Source organism: Homo sapiens, chromosome 5 (genome assembly GCF_000001405.40).
Source record: "Homo sapiens chromosome 5, GRCh38.p14 Primary Assembly".
Taxonomy (NCBI): Eukaryota; Metazoa; Chordata; class Mammalia; order Primates; family Hominidae; genus Homo; species Homo sapiens.
The window spans coordinates 82965467-82982417 of NC_000005.10; the positions used below are offsets into that span (position 1 = coordinate 82965467).

At 40.6% G+C, this 16951-nt stretch overlaps 1 long non-coding RNA gene and 1 pseudogene across 2 annotated transcripts in view, besides 3 other annotated features; one reads left to right on the forward strand and one right to left on the reverse strand.

Annotated features, from left to right (window-relative positions):
- Positions 1-10250, reverse strand: part of LOC105379051 (uncharacterized) — a 62349-nt gene extending 52099 nt beyond the window's left edge. For both annotated transcript variants that reach the window (NR_188290.1, NR_188291.1), the window contains exon 1: positions 9878-10250. This is a non-coding gene — a long non-coding RNA (uncharacterized LOC105379051). The remainder of the gene's footprint in view (positions 1-9877) is intronic.
- ST13P12 (ST13, Hsp70 interacting protein pseudogene 12) lies at positions 3344-11881 on the forward strand (annotated as a pseudogene).
- Positions 3590-4789: an enhancer, noted in NCBI's record as "P300/CBP strongly-dependent group 1 enhancer chr5:82264875-82266074 (GRCh37/hg19 assembly coordinates)". NCBI's record gives its function as "activates an origin of replication core promoter dependent on BRD2, BRD4, P300/CBP, MED14 and CDK7 cofactors, with strong dependence on P300/CBP, by STARR-seq in HCT116 cells {active_cell/tissue: HCT116}" and the evidence as "EXISTENCE:reporter gene assay evidence [ECO:0000049][PMID:35650434]".
- Positions 9798-10997: an enhancer, noted in NCBI's record as "P300/CBP strongly-dependent group 1 enhancer chr5:82271083-82272282 (GRCh37/hg19 assembly coordinates)". NCBI's record gives its function as "activates an origin of replication core promoter dependent on BRD2, BRD4, P300/CBP, MED14 and CDK7 cofactors, with strong dependence on P300/CBP, by STARR-seq in HCT116 cells {active_cell/tissue: HCT116}" and the evidence as "EXISTENCE:reporter gene assay evidence [ECO:0000049][PMID:35650434]".
- Positions 10404-10698: a silencer, noted in NCBI's record as "tiled region #2834; K562 Repressive non-DNase unmatched - State 24:Quies". NCBI's record gives its function as "represses a minimal TATA promoter and a strong SV40 promoter by Sharpr-MPRA in K562 cells {active_cell/tissue: K562}" and the evidence as "EXISTENCE:reporter gene assay evidence [ECO:0000049][PMID:27701403]".
- Positions 11882-16951: the final 5070 nt, after the last annotated feature.

Genomic DNA, 16951 nt, shown 5'->3' on the forward strand with positions numbered 1-16951 from the left:
GATCAAGAACTAAAATAGTTTTTGATTGCTTTAGTATACTTGGAACACAATATCTCACCTTATCACCTCCATGCATTGTTTTGACCAAAGGTTACATTGTGGAGATCATGCTTACTCTTAGGTTCTGAAAGACCTGGATCTACCTGAGGACCAAAAAAGTGAACACGTTTGCTTTCAAGGACCTGCAAGTTTAAAAAGAAAGCATCTCACCTCCAACAGTAGTTGGTAAATTAGAGTTGGTGGATGATAGCAGCTACCAAGTAAGAAAACAGAACGATGGAAGATGGCTTATATCCGTAGTTTCTGTCAACAGTGCAAGTAGAAGTTTCCATTTTTGTGCAAATACGGGAAGATAATGCTTATTATAAATTAACAAACAACATGCATGCAAAGGAGTTCTTCTACCAGCGTACACTTTAAATATACCTGGAGAGCCTACTGTCTATCCTGCTTTTTCTTTTACTTGTGGACGAACTATACTCTTGTGTTAATATCCTCCTTATACACCATTGTTTTGATGGGTATCCTAAAGAAGAGATGGAGAAAAGTAGAGGTACATAGCTAAGAAGTCCTCTCTCAAAGCAGGTTTAAAAATTAATTTCTTATCATATAGACCCTTTCATTATAGTTTATTTTTACATTCACAGATTGAGATTAATACTTGGGAACTATCATAGGGGGATTAAAATAACAATTTTGGGAATCCTGGCCATGTTACTCTCATATTGTTTGACTCTGACTGGTTTGCATTTGCTTACTTATGAGGCAAGGAGAGAAAAGGGTAGCATCAGTCTGCCTTTAGGTTCATTTCTCCCAGTGGCCAACATGGAATATCTGTATCCACATTTGGATGTTAATATGATCTGTGTTGTTATTTTAAGTTTTATGTACATTAAATAGCAATCCCAATTTTTCAGTTCAATGTCTACTACCCTTCAACTACCAAATACTGAGCTCTTGCTAAAAACTGGAATCTCATCTACATGGTTTAAATATGTTATAACAAAGCAACTTGCAAGTATTTTATAAAGTGAAATCATAGCAGCCATTTTATACTTGAGGAAACTGAGAGTTTAAGTGGCTTATCCAAATACATGCATCTGGTAAATGCAACTGGGCTGAACAACAAAGGAACTTTCTTTTATCCTAGACTGATGAGTATTTGTGGCTGATTATCTCAGCCGGTTAGAGGTTAAAGTTCAGTGTTAATGAGGTCAAAGTCATAAATGTGAACTTTAAGTGGAGGATTTCCCTTGATTCATAAGTGCAAGTTCAACATTTAACCCTAGCCAGTCACAAGGAACAGTGCATGGCTCAATATAAATCCATCACCAGTGCTGGAAGCAATACTCAGAAAACACGTTTCTTGTTAAATAGCCAAAGTCATCTTCTTTTTACAAAACAATAATAAGTTAAACTTACTTTAGTTTATTTAAGCTAGGAAGTCATCTATAGTTTTTAATTTAAAAGCCAGGCAATGGGAAAAGGAAAATCAGAGAATGGTTCAGCTGGATGACACTAGTGGGTCTCTCTCTCATACATCCCTTCATTTGGCAGAGAAAAGAACAAATTAAAATTCATGAGTAGGGATTATTGTGTTATTTTCATGAAGTTTCTAAGCCAGAGACAGACAGCAGAAAATAGAAGTCAATTTTCTAATACCCAGTTTATGATTTTTCTACCAAACTTAGAAGGAATGCATTGTGGCCTCAAGCCTGAAAGAAATGATTTGCTGGCCACCTACTGAATGTGAAGAGCACATAGCTAACCTAGCTTTACATATGAAAGGATGGAGTTTATTGTTTCCCATAGGAAATGGAAAGTTCTGCTATAATCCTTTCTCAATTCCTAGTGAAATTTTCTACTTTTCCCTTAAGCTTATGGAATTTTACATTGAAAATTTTTCTTTGCTTTGTTAGTTTCCCTTTTCTTCTTCTCCAAATTCTAAATTATAGCATTATCTATAAACAATAACCCCAATATTGTCTTTCATCTATAAAACACTAACCAGTCTCTTTCAAAGAATGAGTATTGCTAAAGAATCATGCATGTGGACTTCTGGTTCCAAAATGGAGGCACAGAAGCAAGCTGGCTTCACTGTCCCCAGCAGAAAACCAAAAATAAAAATATAGTGCTGGGATTATCACTAGCATATCCCAGAACTCAAACATGAGAATGAAATACTTCCTGTGGTCACAGAGAAGTATAAAAAAACAAACAAAACTCTGAGTAGATGGTAAGAGAATCAGATTTCTACAACAGTGATGTCCCTCCCAACATTCTGCCCAGCATCAAATGCACACAAAATTTCCTCTCAGCTCATAATTTCTACACTGGAAAAAGTGAGATTGAGGTGGACAGAAAACTTGCCCTCCAGTTTGGTTTCCCTGGCAGGTGACCTGTCCTCACCTTACTCCATAGGAAACCAAATGAGTGCCTGAAGGGAGAAATATCCCTGAGATCAAGCAAAGACCAAGGAGGGAGGTGGGACTACTGTCACCAGTCTTGGAAACTATGCTCTGGAACACAGCCAAAGGAGACACCAAATGGGAGTGGCTGTCCTGCAGCATCATGCTGTAGAGGATTCATGCCACAGGGTCCCTGTGCAGGAATCCCTAGCCAGCCTTCCCACACTACCAAAATACCCCATTTGCAACAATCCTCACTGGGGAAGAGCAACACTCTGATTGTTTATAGAGCCATTATAAACCCGGGCTTAAGGTAAAACCTACAGCCGAAAAAGGAGGTAGTGATCTAGCAATAAAGAATCTGTAAGCAGGGCCGGGCATGGTGGCTCACACCTGTAATCCCAACACTTTGGGAGGCTGAGGTGGGTGGATCACCTGAGGCCAGGAGTTCAAGACCAGCCTGGCTAAACATAGTGAAACCCTGTCTCTACTAAAAATACAAAAAAATTAGCCAGGTGTGGTGGGGGAGCACCTGTAATCCCAGCTACTCCGGAGGCTGAGGCAGGAGAATCGCTTGAACTCGGGAGGCAGAGGTTGCAGTGACCCTAGATCACACCACTGCACTCCAGCCTGGGCAAAAAGAGTGAGACTCCATTTCAAAAAAAAAAAAAAAGAATCTCTAAGCAAATATATCCAATAAAAACCAAAACAAGCCAAACAGAAAAGACTGGAATAAATAATCCTTTAATGCAAAGACATTAGACATATATCCACAAGGGAAAAATGCCCTCTCTAAATGGACAAAACAAGGAACCAGTGCTGACCCTAACAAGATGGCAGTATGTGAGCTCTCTCACCAAGAATTCAAAATACCAGTTTTATTCTGTGTAATCTCCAAGATAACACAGAAAAGCAATTCATAAATTTATCAGAGTCTTCTGCGTGGTCATGTCAAGCCGTGCCTGGGCCTGGAACTGAGCTGCAGCCCCTCAGCTTTGCCCATCACCTCCCAACCATGGACCCCCGCAAAGTGAACGAGCTTTGGGCCTTTGTGAAAATGTGTAAGCCAGATCTGACCATTCTGCACACCAAGGAAATGCACTTCCTGAGGGAGTGGGTGGAGATCGTGGGGGGTAAAGTACCACCTGCTACTCAGAAAGCTAAATGAGAAGAAAATACCAAGGGGAAAAAAAAAACTGATAGTAAGAAGGTGGAGGAAGACTTAAAGGCAGATGAACCATTGTTAGAAATAGATAATCAGTGCCATGAAGAAAAGTCAGCATGGAGACAAGTGATCTCACAACAAGGCCATCTTTACTTTCTGCAGAAAGTGTGCTCAATTGTAGATGGAACAATGGTGAGAGCACACCTGGACAAGGGAGGGGAAGGGGTTCTTATTCCTGATGCACATGGCCCCTGCTGCTGTGTCATTCTCCTATTGGCTAGGGTTAGACTGCACAGGCTAAACTAATTCCAATTGGCTAATTTAAAGAGAGTGACGGGATGACTGGTTTGGCGGGAAAAATGGTTATGGAATGAGTCAGAGTGGAGGATGAGTCAGGGCAGAGCAGGTAATTGGAATGAGTCAGGGTGGAGCAGGTAATCGGAATGAGTCAGAGTGGAGCAGATGATCAAAAAAGGTTGCTTTATGAGGAAGTTAAGTTTAAAAGTAGAAGGCAAAGAATTGAACATACTGACATATTGATTCTTTGAAGAGAAATTTATAACTCATATCTAACATTCCCTCCTCTTGCATTTACCTTACAGCTCTTTCTCTTCAAACTTCTTTAACATGTCTTGGCTTAGTTGTTCTGCTTGATTTTCCAAAAGAAGCAGCTTCTCTGGATAAGGTGTAGGATAGTTAAAGGAGGTTCTAGTAAGAGCCATTTTTATGAGCCTCTGTACCAAACCATGGATGCATGGTATGACACAGCACCCTACAAGAATAAGTAAACCCATTACGGCTGTGAGGGAAGTAAAAATTGAGGCTATTATTCTTTTTCATTTAACGAACCACTTTTCTAGCCATCCTGTAAAATGGTCGTTTACCCCTGAGTTGTTGGCTAACTTATTGGATAGAACAGTCAGACCTTGCAATGTCTTTGTCATACTTTCATCAGGGGCAGTGTTGTTTGGGATGAAGGTGCAACATTGAGTTTTAATTATGACACAAACTCCTCCTTTTTCTGCTAATATCATGACTAAGGCTATCTTATTTTTCCCAAGCCATCTGGCTAGTAGCCCCTAATTATTCAGCTATTCCTTTAACAGCATCTCTAGTGTAATTAATAGATCCCTGTTGGTTGTAATAAATGTAGTTTATCCAATTTACATTTTCTTAATTGTCACCCACTAAAATATTGACTCAAATCCTGCAGCTATATGATTTCGGACTTTAAATTGATCTGGTATTCCCCATGGGACTCTAATTGTGTCTAAATAGACGTGATAGTAGAATGACCCATAAGAGGCTTCTTTTGCTTTACGATGTCTTATTTTTCCTTTCTCTGGTTGATGAAATGCCAAGGTGAAAGGGATAGCCAATTGGACTAAAGAATAAGTCCCACTTGAGTTACTCAGCAGAGTGTTCAGTAAAGGTCCACCATAATACTACTACACATCCACTCAGGGATGAATAAGGGCTGACTGATTGGTAAGCTTTTGAAAATTTTTAAGCTTACTGCATCCCTTCAGGTCTCCAAGGAACACTAAGTTTCCTCCCTGTCGTGATGTTACCAGGGGTCCTTGCTCCCAGAGCTCCCAAGATGGTGGTGGGCCACTTCCAAAATGGCGGTGGGCCACTTCCAAGATGGTGGCAAGCCTCGTGTTCTCTGACCTGGGGTTCTTGGCCTCACGGATTCCAAGGAATGGAATCTTAGGCCATGCAGTGAGTGTTATAGCTCTATTAGAAGCCGTGGGTCACAGAAGAGAACCGTGGAACCCAGTGACTGGTGTTCAGCTTGATTAGGACAAACCCAGGCACTTAGCCATGCAGGAAAAATAGCAAGCCTTTAGCCCGATCGGGAGCGGCAATGGGCGCCTTGCTGGATCAGGAGCACAGCAGACACCCTGCTGGATCCGGAGGGATGGAAGTCAGCAGCGGGTCTGCAACACTGGCAAAACAGCAGTGGTGGACAGCGAGCGAAAGCTCAGCTAGAGCCATAACAAACAAGGACCAGAAGAGTGCAGTTGCAAGATTTAATAGAGTGAAAACAGAGCTCCCATACAAGGAGGGGACCCAAAGGGGATTGCCGTTGCCTGCTAGAATGCCTGGGTTTATGGCCTGATCCTTGTTCTTCCCGCTGTGCTCTCAGGCAATAGATGATTGGCTGTTTCTTTACCTCCTGTTTTTGCCTAATCAGCATTTTAGTGAGCTCTCTGATTGGTCAGGTGTAAGCTCAGTTGCAAGCCCCGTGTTTAAAAGTGGATGTGGTCACCTTCTCAGCTAGGCTTAGGGATTCTTAGTCAGCCTAGGAAATCCAGCTAGTCCTGTCTCTCAGTCTGAGACACTTAGTGAACTTTGTGTTGGGAGATGGAAGCTGGATGGCCCTCGGGGGCTGACCTGCAGGGTGTTGAAATTTGGGATATAGCAGAGAGAGAACTTGGCACAACTTGTTACCGCAGGCTGTAGAATCCTGTAAGAGAGCTGCCATGCAGCCCACGCCCGGTCGACTGGAGGACCGCCCTAGTAGAAAGGGGACAATCTGGGCCTCTGGCCTGCAGTGCACACAAGCATAACAATTGCCTTTGTTTAACATGTGGACAGAACATTTAATCCATTTTAACCAGGCATTTACATCTTTATACCCTGTTTCAATGGCTATGGTTTGCCTTAGGTCTCCTATTTCTACTACTGAGACCTTGCTTTTGTCACTTGGCATGAGGCGAGTCATAGTTTGATTTCATAGGTTTGGGAAAGGGGCAGCCATAGGAGGTGGAGGAGGGAGAACAAAGCATACCTTGAAGAAGCCTATAGGATCCTTTCCAGTGACTTCTGCTCCTAAACCATAGAAGTGCTCTAAAGTGGGGTAAGAGTTGCTAGTGGTAGGAATAGTAATGGATATAAGCACTGGGTAAGGAAAGGAAAGGAAAAGATAGATGGACTAAGCTTTTTTTAGGTTTAATTTGGTAGAGGATTGTCCAGGAACAATGACCCATGATTCTGATGATAATGGCACTTGCTTGACTAGGGTGTGATGTGTCCATCCTTTTCTGCTGTACAAACAGCAATCTCGGTGGTTAGCAGCACAATGCAGGGTCCTTCCCAGGCTGGCTCAAGTTTCCCTTCTTTCCACCCTTTGATGAGAACGTGATCCCCAGGCCGATGCTGATGTACTGGAAACTCCAAAGGCGGCGCCTCTGCTGAAAGACCTCTTGTTTTAAGGGAGGAGAAAGTGGAGGTTAACCCAAGTAAATAATTTCTAAGAAATTGATCTTTTGTTTTAAATGTGGGGACATCAGCAGTGGACTTTATAGTCCTTGGTGCCTTCTTGCTGAGAAATTTTCTTTTTTTTCTTTTTTTTTCAGAAGGAGTCTTGCTCTGTCACGCAGGCTGGAGTCTGGAGTGCAATGGCATGATTTCGGCTCACTGCAAGCTCTGCCTCCCGGGTTCACGCCATTCTCCTGCCTCAGCCTCCCGAGTAGCTGGGACTACAGGCGCCCGCCACCACGCCCGACTAATTTTTTGTATTTTTAGTAGAGACGGGGTTTCACCATGTTAGCCAGGATGGTCTTGATCTCCTGACCTCGTGATCTGCCTGCCTCAGCCTCCCAAAGTGCTGGGATTACAGGCATGAGACACTGTGCCCAGCCTGAGAAATTTTCTTTAGCACCTATTTTTATTAGTTTTTAGACCAAAGAAAGCCAAACACCATTTTATATTTAACAATGCTTCCTGTATGATTTTATACCAGATGAACTAAATTTCACCTTTATATTAGTGTTATTAATGTTAAACTTAATTTTAATGAAACCTTATAGACATATTTATCCAATTTTAATGTCTGACCATAAGGTAAGATTTTTATAGACTCTTTTTAACCATTTATAATTTTTGTTAAAGAGCAGGTTAGTGCTTTAAGAAAAATCTGTTGTGCTTTTATTTTAATGTCCCGTTCACAGAAAAACTGGATACCCCTTTAACTTTAGCCAATATGTTTACACACAGAATTTCCTTTACAATTAACATTTCAAAACTTGCTTAAACCTTTAAAACAAATTTTTTTTTTTTTTTTTGAGATGGAGTCTCGCTCTTTTGCCCAGGCCGGAGTGCAGTGGCGCTATCTCGGCTCACTGCAACGTCGACCTCCCGGGTTCACGCCATTCTCCTGCCTCAGCCTCCCGAGTAGCTGGGACTATAGGTGCCCGCCACCACACCCAGCTAATTTTTTGTATTTTTAGTAGAGATGGGGTTGCACCATGTTAGCCAGGATGGTCTCAATCTACTGACCTCGTGATCTGCCCACCTCAGCCTCCCAAAGTGCTGGGATTACAGGCGTGAGCCACCGCGCCCGGCCAATAAAATATTTTTTTAACCTTTTAATGTAGGTAAAAATCCATATTCTTATGCCTCCTTGTAATCCTTTTACCAAAAATACATTTTACTTTCCTTACACACCTTGCACATAAACTGTTTCTTCAATAGTTTTACATTCAGGAGGCCTAATTACTTTTAAATTATACAACATTTCCCTTTTATAACTTTTTTTCACGACTTTCACAGACAATTCTTCAATGTGCCTCAACTTTTTGACTTGTTGCAAACATCCCTTTCTTTAAACAACCAGTTAATTTGTTTTAGGACAAGAATTTACCATATAATATTCTTTTTACATAAATTCTCCCCCATTTTTTGTTTTCAAAGATAACCATTCTTTTCCAAAGTGAACTTCCTTCATGTCTGTGGACTAGGCTGCCTTAGGCCACAAAATTAGAAGTTAGGATAATACATGTTACACTGTTAACTTTTAGCAAATTTTACTTTTGTTGAAAACTTTGTAAGTTTGGGATTTCAATTATTCTTTGCTATTAGTAAGACTTCGTTCAGTCCATATTAACTTAGAATTGGTATAGATAGCTCCTTCCTGATTCTGTAAGTATTTTAAGGCTTGGCTGAATGCAAACAGCTCACACGTTTGAGCAGACCAACTATTAGGCAATTTTCCTAACTCTGCTTCTACAAGAGTTTCCTTATCACTTACTGAATACCCATTGTGTCTTTTTCCCTCAATCACCCGGGAGGAACCATCTATTGTCCTGTCCTGAAGGGAGTTCCTCCTAGGTCTGGTTGGACCTTTGTATGGTAATCAATTAAGATTTAGATCCCCTGTTAGGAAGCCTGCTGGGTTAAGGGAATTTTCAGTGTTTAATGTTAAATCATCTTTTTCTAACAGAATAGCCTCATACTTTAAGGTTCTTGAGTCAGTATGCTACATTTTTGCTTTTTTTTTTTTTTTTTTTGACTTAGGATAGTTCCAACCTGATGAGGTGTGCTCACAATGAAGTTTCCTCTAAAAGTTATTTTTCTACTTTCTTCTGTTAACAAAGCAGTCGCCACTACAGATTAAATGCATTTGGGCTATCCACAGGTTACAGGGTTAAGGATTTTTGATTAGGAAAGGCTACGGGTTGTCAGTGGCCTCAGTGCTTTCAGGCTACACCCTTGTTTACACTGACAACAAGGTGGTATTGGAATGTTATAGGGTCAAGGAGAAGACCTTCAACTATCAATTATAGGTTTTTAATTTATCCTGGCACTTAAAGGAATAGGGTACACTGTTTTCTCTTTACTACTTCTATCTCTCTCTCTCTCTCTTTGACTCTCTGTCTCTTTCTCTCTGACTTCCTCTCCAAGTTTCTCTTTCCTCTCTGCTGGTCTTTCCCTGCCTCTGCCAGCTGCTTATGCTGCTGTTCCCCCCTCTCCTTCCCCTTCCCCTAGGGGAGGGACCAGCAGGAGTGGAGCTACTCTTTCTTCCCCACAAGAAGAAAGGAAAGGGGAGTTCTGAATATTTTTCTAACTACCAGAGGTTTGTGTAAGGTTCAACCCCCTGAAATTTGTGGAAGTCTCAACCACTCAAACCAGGGGTGCCTTGCCTTGCCTGTCCTGGAAGTCTCAACCCCTCAAACCAGGGATGTCTTGCCTTGCTGCCCTGGAAGGTTGACCTGTTTCCTCCCTTTCCCCATCTGACGGTCCTTTGCACACTTCCCACTCATGTTGTCCTCTCTGGCTGCTCCCCCAAGGAAGAATTAGACCCCTCTTAGCATTGGTATGCCGGTATAAATCCCACAGCAGGATCTGCCCTAAGCCATATGAGGTAGCCACAGAACCGTGGAGAGGACCCACTCACTCCAGCAGTAGGACTTGTCACCATCCACATGAACAATACCATAAGAAGGGTTGTTTGTGATCATTCACGCACACACACACACATTTGGCCCTCCAGAATTTGACCACCAAGGAAGTACTTTACCAGCTCCCATGGTTTCTCCTTCCTTGGTCTGTGCAGAGTCATTACCGCAGTATGTGAGGATCCTTTACCCTACGTTGCTAGCCAGTTTCTTTCCACGTTGCTGAGAGTCCCAGTTTATTCATCACACTGGGTGGATCTCGGTTCCTCACCCCTGAGGCTGCCAAAAACGAGGTAGTGGGGCATGCCTTCTCACAAGAGAGGACTGGAGACCCACCCTAGAGGAGACTGTAATCCTGGACGAGCCCCCAAAATTGTTAGAAATAGATAATCGGTGCTGCAAAGAAAAGTCAGCTTGGAGACAAATGATCTCTTAGCAAGGCTGTCTTTACTTTCTGCAGAAAAGGTGCTCAGTTGCAGATGGAACAATAGCGAGAACACACCTGGGTGGGAAAGGGGTTCTTATTCCTGATGCACGTGGCCCCTGCTGCTGTGTCGTTCCCCTATTGGCTAGGGTTAGACTGCACAGGCTAAACTAATTCCGATTGGCTAATTTAAAGAGAGTGATGTGGTGAGTGGTTTAGCGGGAAAAATGGTTATGGAATAAGTCAGAGTGGAGGAGAAGTCAGGCAGGAGCAGGTAACCGGAACGTGTCAGGGTGGAGCAGGTAATTGGAGTGAGTCAGGATGGGGCAAGTGATCAGAATGAGTCAGGTTGGGGAAGGTGATCATAATGAGTCAGGGTGGGGCAGGTGATCAGAATGAGCCAAGGCAGGCAGGTAATTGGAATGAGTCAGGGTGGAGCAGGTAATTGGAATGAGTCATGGTGGGGCAGGTGATCAGAATGAGTCAGGGTGGAGCAGGTAATCGGAATGAGTCAGAGTGGAGCAGGTGATTGAAAAAGGTTGCTTTATGAGGAAGTTAAGTTTAAAAGTAGAAGGCAAAGAATCGAACATACTGACATATTGATTCTTTGAAGAGAAATTTAGAACTCATATCTAACGCCATCAAGTGAGGAAAGTGATCTAGTTATTGATAATGAAGGTGTGATTGAACCAGACACTGATGCCCCTCAAGAACTGGGAGATTAAAATGCAGAGATAACAGAGGAGATGATGAATCAGGCAAATGATAAGAAAGTGGCTGCTATTGAAGCCCTAAGTGATGGTGAACTGCAGAAAGCCATTGACTTATTCACAGATGCCATCAGGCTGAATCCTTGCTTGGCCATTTTGTATGCCAAGAGGGCAAGTGTCTTTGTCAAATTACAGGAGCCAAACGCTGCTATCTGAGACTGTGACAGAGCCATTGAAATAAATCCTGATTCAGCTCAGCCTTACAAGTGGTGAGGGAAAGCACACATACTTCTAGGCCACTGGGAAGAAGCAGCACATGATCTTGCCTTTGCCTGTAAATTGGATTATGATGAAGATGCTAGTGCAATGCTGAAAGAAGTTCAACCTAGGGCACAGAAAATTGCAGAACATCAGAGAAAGTATGAGTGAAAACGTGAAGGGTGAGAGATCAAAGCAAGAATAGAAAGAGTTAAGAAGGCTCAAGAAGAGCATGAGAGAGCCCAGAGGGAGGAAGAAGCCAGATGACACTAAGGAGCTCAGTATAGCTCTTTTCCAGGTGGCTTTCCTGGGGGAATGCCTGGTAATTTTCCCTGAGGAATGTCTGGAATGGCCAGAATGCCTGGACTCAATGAAATTCTTAGTGATTCAGAGGTTCTTGCAGCCATGCAGGGTCCAGAGGTTATGGTGGCCTTCCAGGATGTGGCTCAGAACCCAGCAAATATGTCACAATACCAGAGCAACCCAAAGGTTATGAATCTTATCAGTAAATTGTCAGCCAAATTTGGAGGTCAAGTGTAATGCCCTTCTGATGAATAAAGCCCTTGCTGAAGGAAAAACAACCTAGATCACCTTATGGATGTCACAATAATACAAAGCAGTGTACCTCTGACCTTCTCATCAAGAGAGCTGGGGTGCTTTGAAGATAATCCCTACCCCTCTCCCCTAAATGCAGCTGAGGCATTTTACAGTGGTTTGCCATTAGGGTATTCATTCAGATAATGTTTTCCTACTAGGAATTACAAACTTTAAACAATTTTTAAACCTTAAAAATATTTAAAACAAATTTAAAGGGTCTGTTAATTCTTATATTTTTTTACTAATGATTTTGGATTTTTTTTGAATTATTGGGCAGGGAAAACATTTATGTATGGAAGATTATTGCTCTAATTTGAGTGAAATAAAAGTTTATTAGTGCGAAGCAAACGTAACTCATTTGAGGATAAAGTTTGTGCTGGATATGTCGTTCCTGAAGCATTTTGACTTGTCTTTTTAAATGCTTTATCTTTTCTTTAAAGAATTATTTTAATAAAACTAATTGGGAACACCAGTATTTCACTAGGACCTGGGTAGGGACTGGAAGTACTTGGCAGGGCAGTAGCAATCTTGTTGTGTTTTATATAACATGCATCCTTGGGCAGGCTGCCCTTAAATCTTACACTGTTGTGAAGGGATGAATTTTTTGTAATGCTGCGGTACAGTTGCAGTACTTAGTTCTGTTCTTGTCCAGTAGATCTAATAAATGTTTCATACTATTTCCATATAGGGAAAATAAGGGAGTACTTTTCTTTGTATATTTCTATGCTTAAAATTCTCTTTCCTAGTCAAAAAATGCCCAACTCTCTGTCTGATTTCTGCTTGTTACATTTTTCTCCCTTACTTTTCTTGGGCTAAAGACAGGTTTTTTCTACCAGCATCATCACTGCTATCATCATTAACAGCATAATTATACAATCATATTTCATGCTGAGTTTAATTTAATATGTAATACATACGTGAATTGTAAGATAATACCCAAAACAACTAGTTTCTTACTTGGCCATGAGAATGCTTACTTAAGTTTTAGAGTTCAACTCTGGCAAAATCTTGTCATATCAAAAGACATTGGAAAGAGGGATTCCCTTTGATGTTTGGTCTTCTACTTAGAAAATACCTATTGCAGTAAGAGTTTATCTTGCAGTATTCATCTTTGTATTTTGAAGATAATAAGGTTTGAATTAAATTGATATATACAGAGGGGAACCAATTTTTTTGATCCAATGTGAATTATAAATGAGATAATCCACATTCATTGTGGAGTTGTTGAGACTATGAAAGACTCATTGTCTTTGTATTCAGCTCTTCCTTAAATAGTGTAACCATACCCCCACCTCTGCTTGCTTTCTTTCCCTCCCCTCCAATGAGAAAGAAAATTATAAATAAAAACATAAATTTATCAGAGAAATTTAACAATGAGATTGAAATAACTGACAAAAAAATCAAACGGAAATCTTGGAACTCAGAAATATATTTGCTGAATTAAAAATTCATTAGAGGCCCTCAATAGCAGAATGGATCAAGCAGAGGAAAGACTCAGTGAGCCCAAAGAAAGGCCCTGTATATTTGAGAATACACAGGGGAGAAAAGAGAATGATAAGGAAAAAAGACCACCTGCAAGATACAGACAATTACCTCAAAAGAGCAAATTTAAGAATTATTAGTATTCAAGTGGGAGATGAGCAAGAACAAGGGGTAGAAAACTTATTCAAAGAAATAACAGAAGATGTTCTAAAATGTGAGAAAGATATAAATATCCAGGTTCAGGAAAGTCAGAGAACACTAAACAGATTTGACCCAAATAAGACTACTCCTAAGTATGCAATAATCAAACTCTCAAAGGTCAAAGATAGAGAGAGGATCCTAAAAGCAGTAAGGGAAAATACACAAATAGCAAAAGAGGTACAATTCATCTGGCAACAGACTTCTCAATGGAAACTGTACATGCCAGGAGGGAGTAGAATGACATTTTCTAAGTGCTGAAAGAAAAACCTTCCATCAAAAATACTGCATGCAGCAGTCATTCTTCCAATATGAAGGCGAGATAAGGTATTTCCCAGACAAACAAAAGTGCAGAAAATTCACCACCTTCAGACTCATCTTATAAGAAATGCTTAAAGGGAGTTTTTCCTGCAGAAAAAAAAGAAAGAAAGAAAGGGAGAAAAGAAAAAGAAAGAAAGAAAGAAAGAAAGAAAGAAAGAAAGAAAGAAAGAAAGAAAGAAAGAGGAAGGAAGGAAGGAAGGAAGGAAGGGAGGGAGGAAAGAAAGAAGAAAGAAAGACCATTAACATGAAAAAAAAGCATTTGAAGGTATAAAACCCACTGACAGAAGGACACAGACAAACACAGAATACTGAATTGCAGTGTACGATCCACTCTTAATTCTAGTATGAAGCCCAAAAGACAAATCTACCAAATAATAATAGCTACAGTAGTCTGTCAAGAGGTAGGTAATATAAAAAAGGTAGACTGAGACAAGTAAAAGTCAAAATTTAGGGGAGATGGAGTTGAAGTGTAGAACTTTTACCTTTTTTTTTCTTTTTACCTATTCTTTTCTTTGTGATCTAAGATAAATTGTTGCCATGCGCAGTGGCTCACGCCTGTAATTCCAGCACTTTAGGAGGCTGAGGTGGGCAGATCACGAGGTCAGGAGTTGGAGACTAGCTTGGCCAACATGGTGAAACCCTGTCTCCACTAAAAATACAAAAATTAGCTGGGCATGGTGGTGGGCGCCTGTAATCCCAGCTCTTCGGGAGGCTGAGGCAGAAGAATCACTTGAACCTGGGAGGCGGAGCCTGCAGTGAGCTGAGATTGCGCCACTGCACTCCAGCATAGGCAACAAGAGCGAAACTTCATCTCAGAAAAAAAAAAAAAGATAAATTGTCACCTCCTTAAAACAACTTACTATACCTACAAGGTATTTTTTGTAAGCCTATTGGTACCCGCAATGCAAGAACCTACAATAGATTTGCTAAAAATAAAAGCAATGAATTAAAACATAATACCAGAGAAAATCACTTAACCACAAAGAAAGACGGAAAGAAGGAAGAGACAAGTTATAAAACAACCAGAAAATAAGCAACTAAATGACAGTAGTAAGTCTTACTTATCAAGAATAACACTGAATATAAATGGACTCAATTCTTCAATTAAAAGCCATAGAGTGAGCCGGGTGCGGTGGCTCACGCCTGTAATCCTAGCACTTTGGGAGGCCGAGGCGGGCAGATCACGAGGTCAGGAGATTGAGACCATCCTGGCTAACACGGTGAAACCTGTTTCCACTAAAAATGCAAAAAATTAGCCGGGTGCGGTAGCGGGCACCTGTAGTCCCAGCTACTCGGGATGCTGAGGCAGGAGAATGGCATGAACCTGGGAGGCAAGCTTGCAGTGAGCTGAGATCACACCACTGCACTCCAGCCTCACTGCAACCTCTGCCTGCCGGGTTCAAGCAATTCTCCTGCCTCAGCCTCCTGAGTAGCTGGGATTACAGGCGCGTGCCACCATGCCCGGCTAATTTTTTGTATTTTTAGTAGAGCCAGGGTTTCACCATGCTGGCCAGGCTGGTCTCGAACTCCTGACCACCTACCTTGGCCTCCCAAAGTGCTGGGATTATAGGCGTGAGCCACCATGACCAGCCAAAAGGTTGTGTTTTTATGAAAGATAAAAAAAGATGATAAGCCTTTAGTTAGTCTAACTAAGAAAAAGAGAGAGATGATACAAATAAATAAAATTAAATAGAAAAGGAGGTATAAGAACTGAGACCACAGAAATACAAAGTATCATTAGAGACTCTTAGGAACAACTATACGCCAACAAATTGAGAAATTCCTGAACACATACAACCTACTAAGATTGAACCATGAAGGAATAAAAAAGTCTCAACAATCCAATAATGAGCAACAAGATTAAGCTGTAATTTAGAATAAGATTCCCATCAAAGAAAAACTCAGGACCTTAGGCCTTCACTGCTAAATTCTACCAGACATTTAAAGAAGAACTAATACCAATTATACTCTAACTCTTCAAAAAAAATTGAAGAGTAGGGAATACTACCAAACTCATTTTGCAAGGCCAGAATTACCCCAATACCAAACCAGACAAGAACACAACAGGACCAAAAAAAAAAAAAAAAAAAAAAAAGAACACTACAGTACAGGACAGTATCACCAATGAACATAGGTACAACAATCTTCAACAAAATACTAGCAACCTGAATGTAATAAGGCATTATAAAGATCATTTACTACGATCAAGTGGGATTCATCCCAGGGGTGCAAGGATGATTCAACATATACTAATCAATAAATGTTATACATAACATTAACAAAACCAAAAGTAAAAACTATATGATGTTTCAATAGATGCCAAAAAAGTATTCAATAAAATTCAACACCCCTTTATGATAAAAGTCCTCATCAAACTGGGTATAGAAGGAACATAACTCAAAATAATAAAGGCCATATATGACAAACCTACAGCAAATATCATACTGAGTGGGGAGAAATTGAAGGTCTTTCCTCTAGGATCTGAAACAAGACAGGGATGCCCACTTTCATTACTTTTATTCAACCTAATACTGTAAGTCCTGGACAGAGCAATTGGGCAAGAGAAAGAAATAATGAGCATTCAAATTGGAAAGGAAGAGCTCAAATTATCCTTGTTTGCTGATGATATATTCTTATATTCAGAGAAACCTAAAAATTCCACCAAAACCTCATAGAACTGACAAATGAATTCAGTAAAGTTGCAGGATACATATCAGCCTAAAAAGTCAGTGGCATTTCTATATGCTAACAGCAATTGATCTGAAAAAGAAAGAAAGAAAAGAATCCCATTCATCAAAGCTCCAAAGAATATAAAATACCTAGATATCAATTTAACCAAAGAAGTGAAAGAAAACTATGAAACACAGATGAAAGAAATTGAGAGGGACACAAAAATAGAAAGACATTTCATGTTCATGGATTGGAAGAATTAACATTGTTAAAATGACCACACTACCCAAATCTATTTACAGATTCAATGCAAATGCCCCATCAAAATACCAATGACACTCTTTACAGAAATAGAAAAAACAATACTAAAGTTTGTATGGAACTACAAAAGACTCCAAACAGCCAAAGCAATCCTGAGCAAAAAGAGCAAAGCTGGAGGCATTTGAAGACACTACCTGACTTCAAAGTTTACTACAAAGCTATAGCAATCAAATCAGTGTGGTACTGGCATAAAAACACAATGGGACAGAATAGAG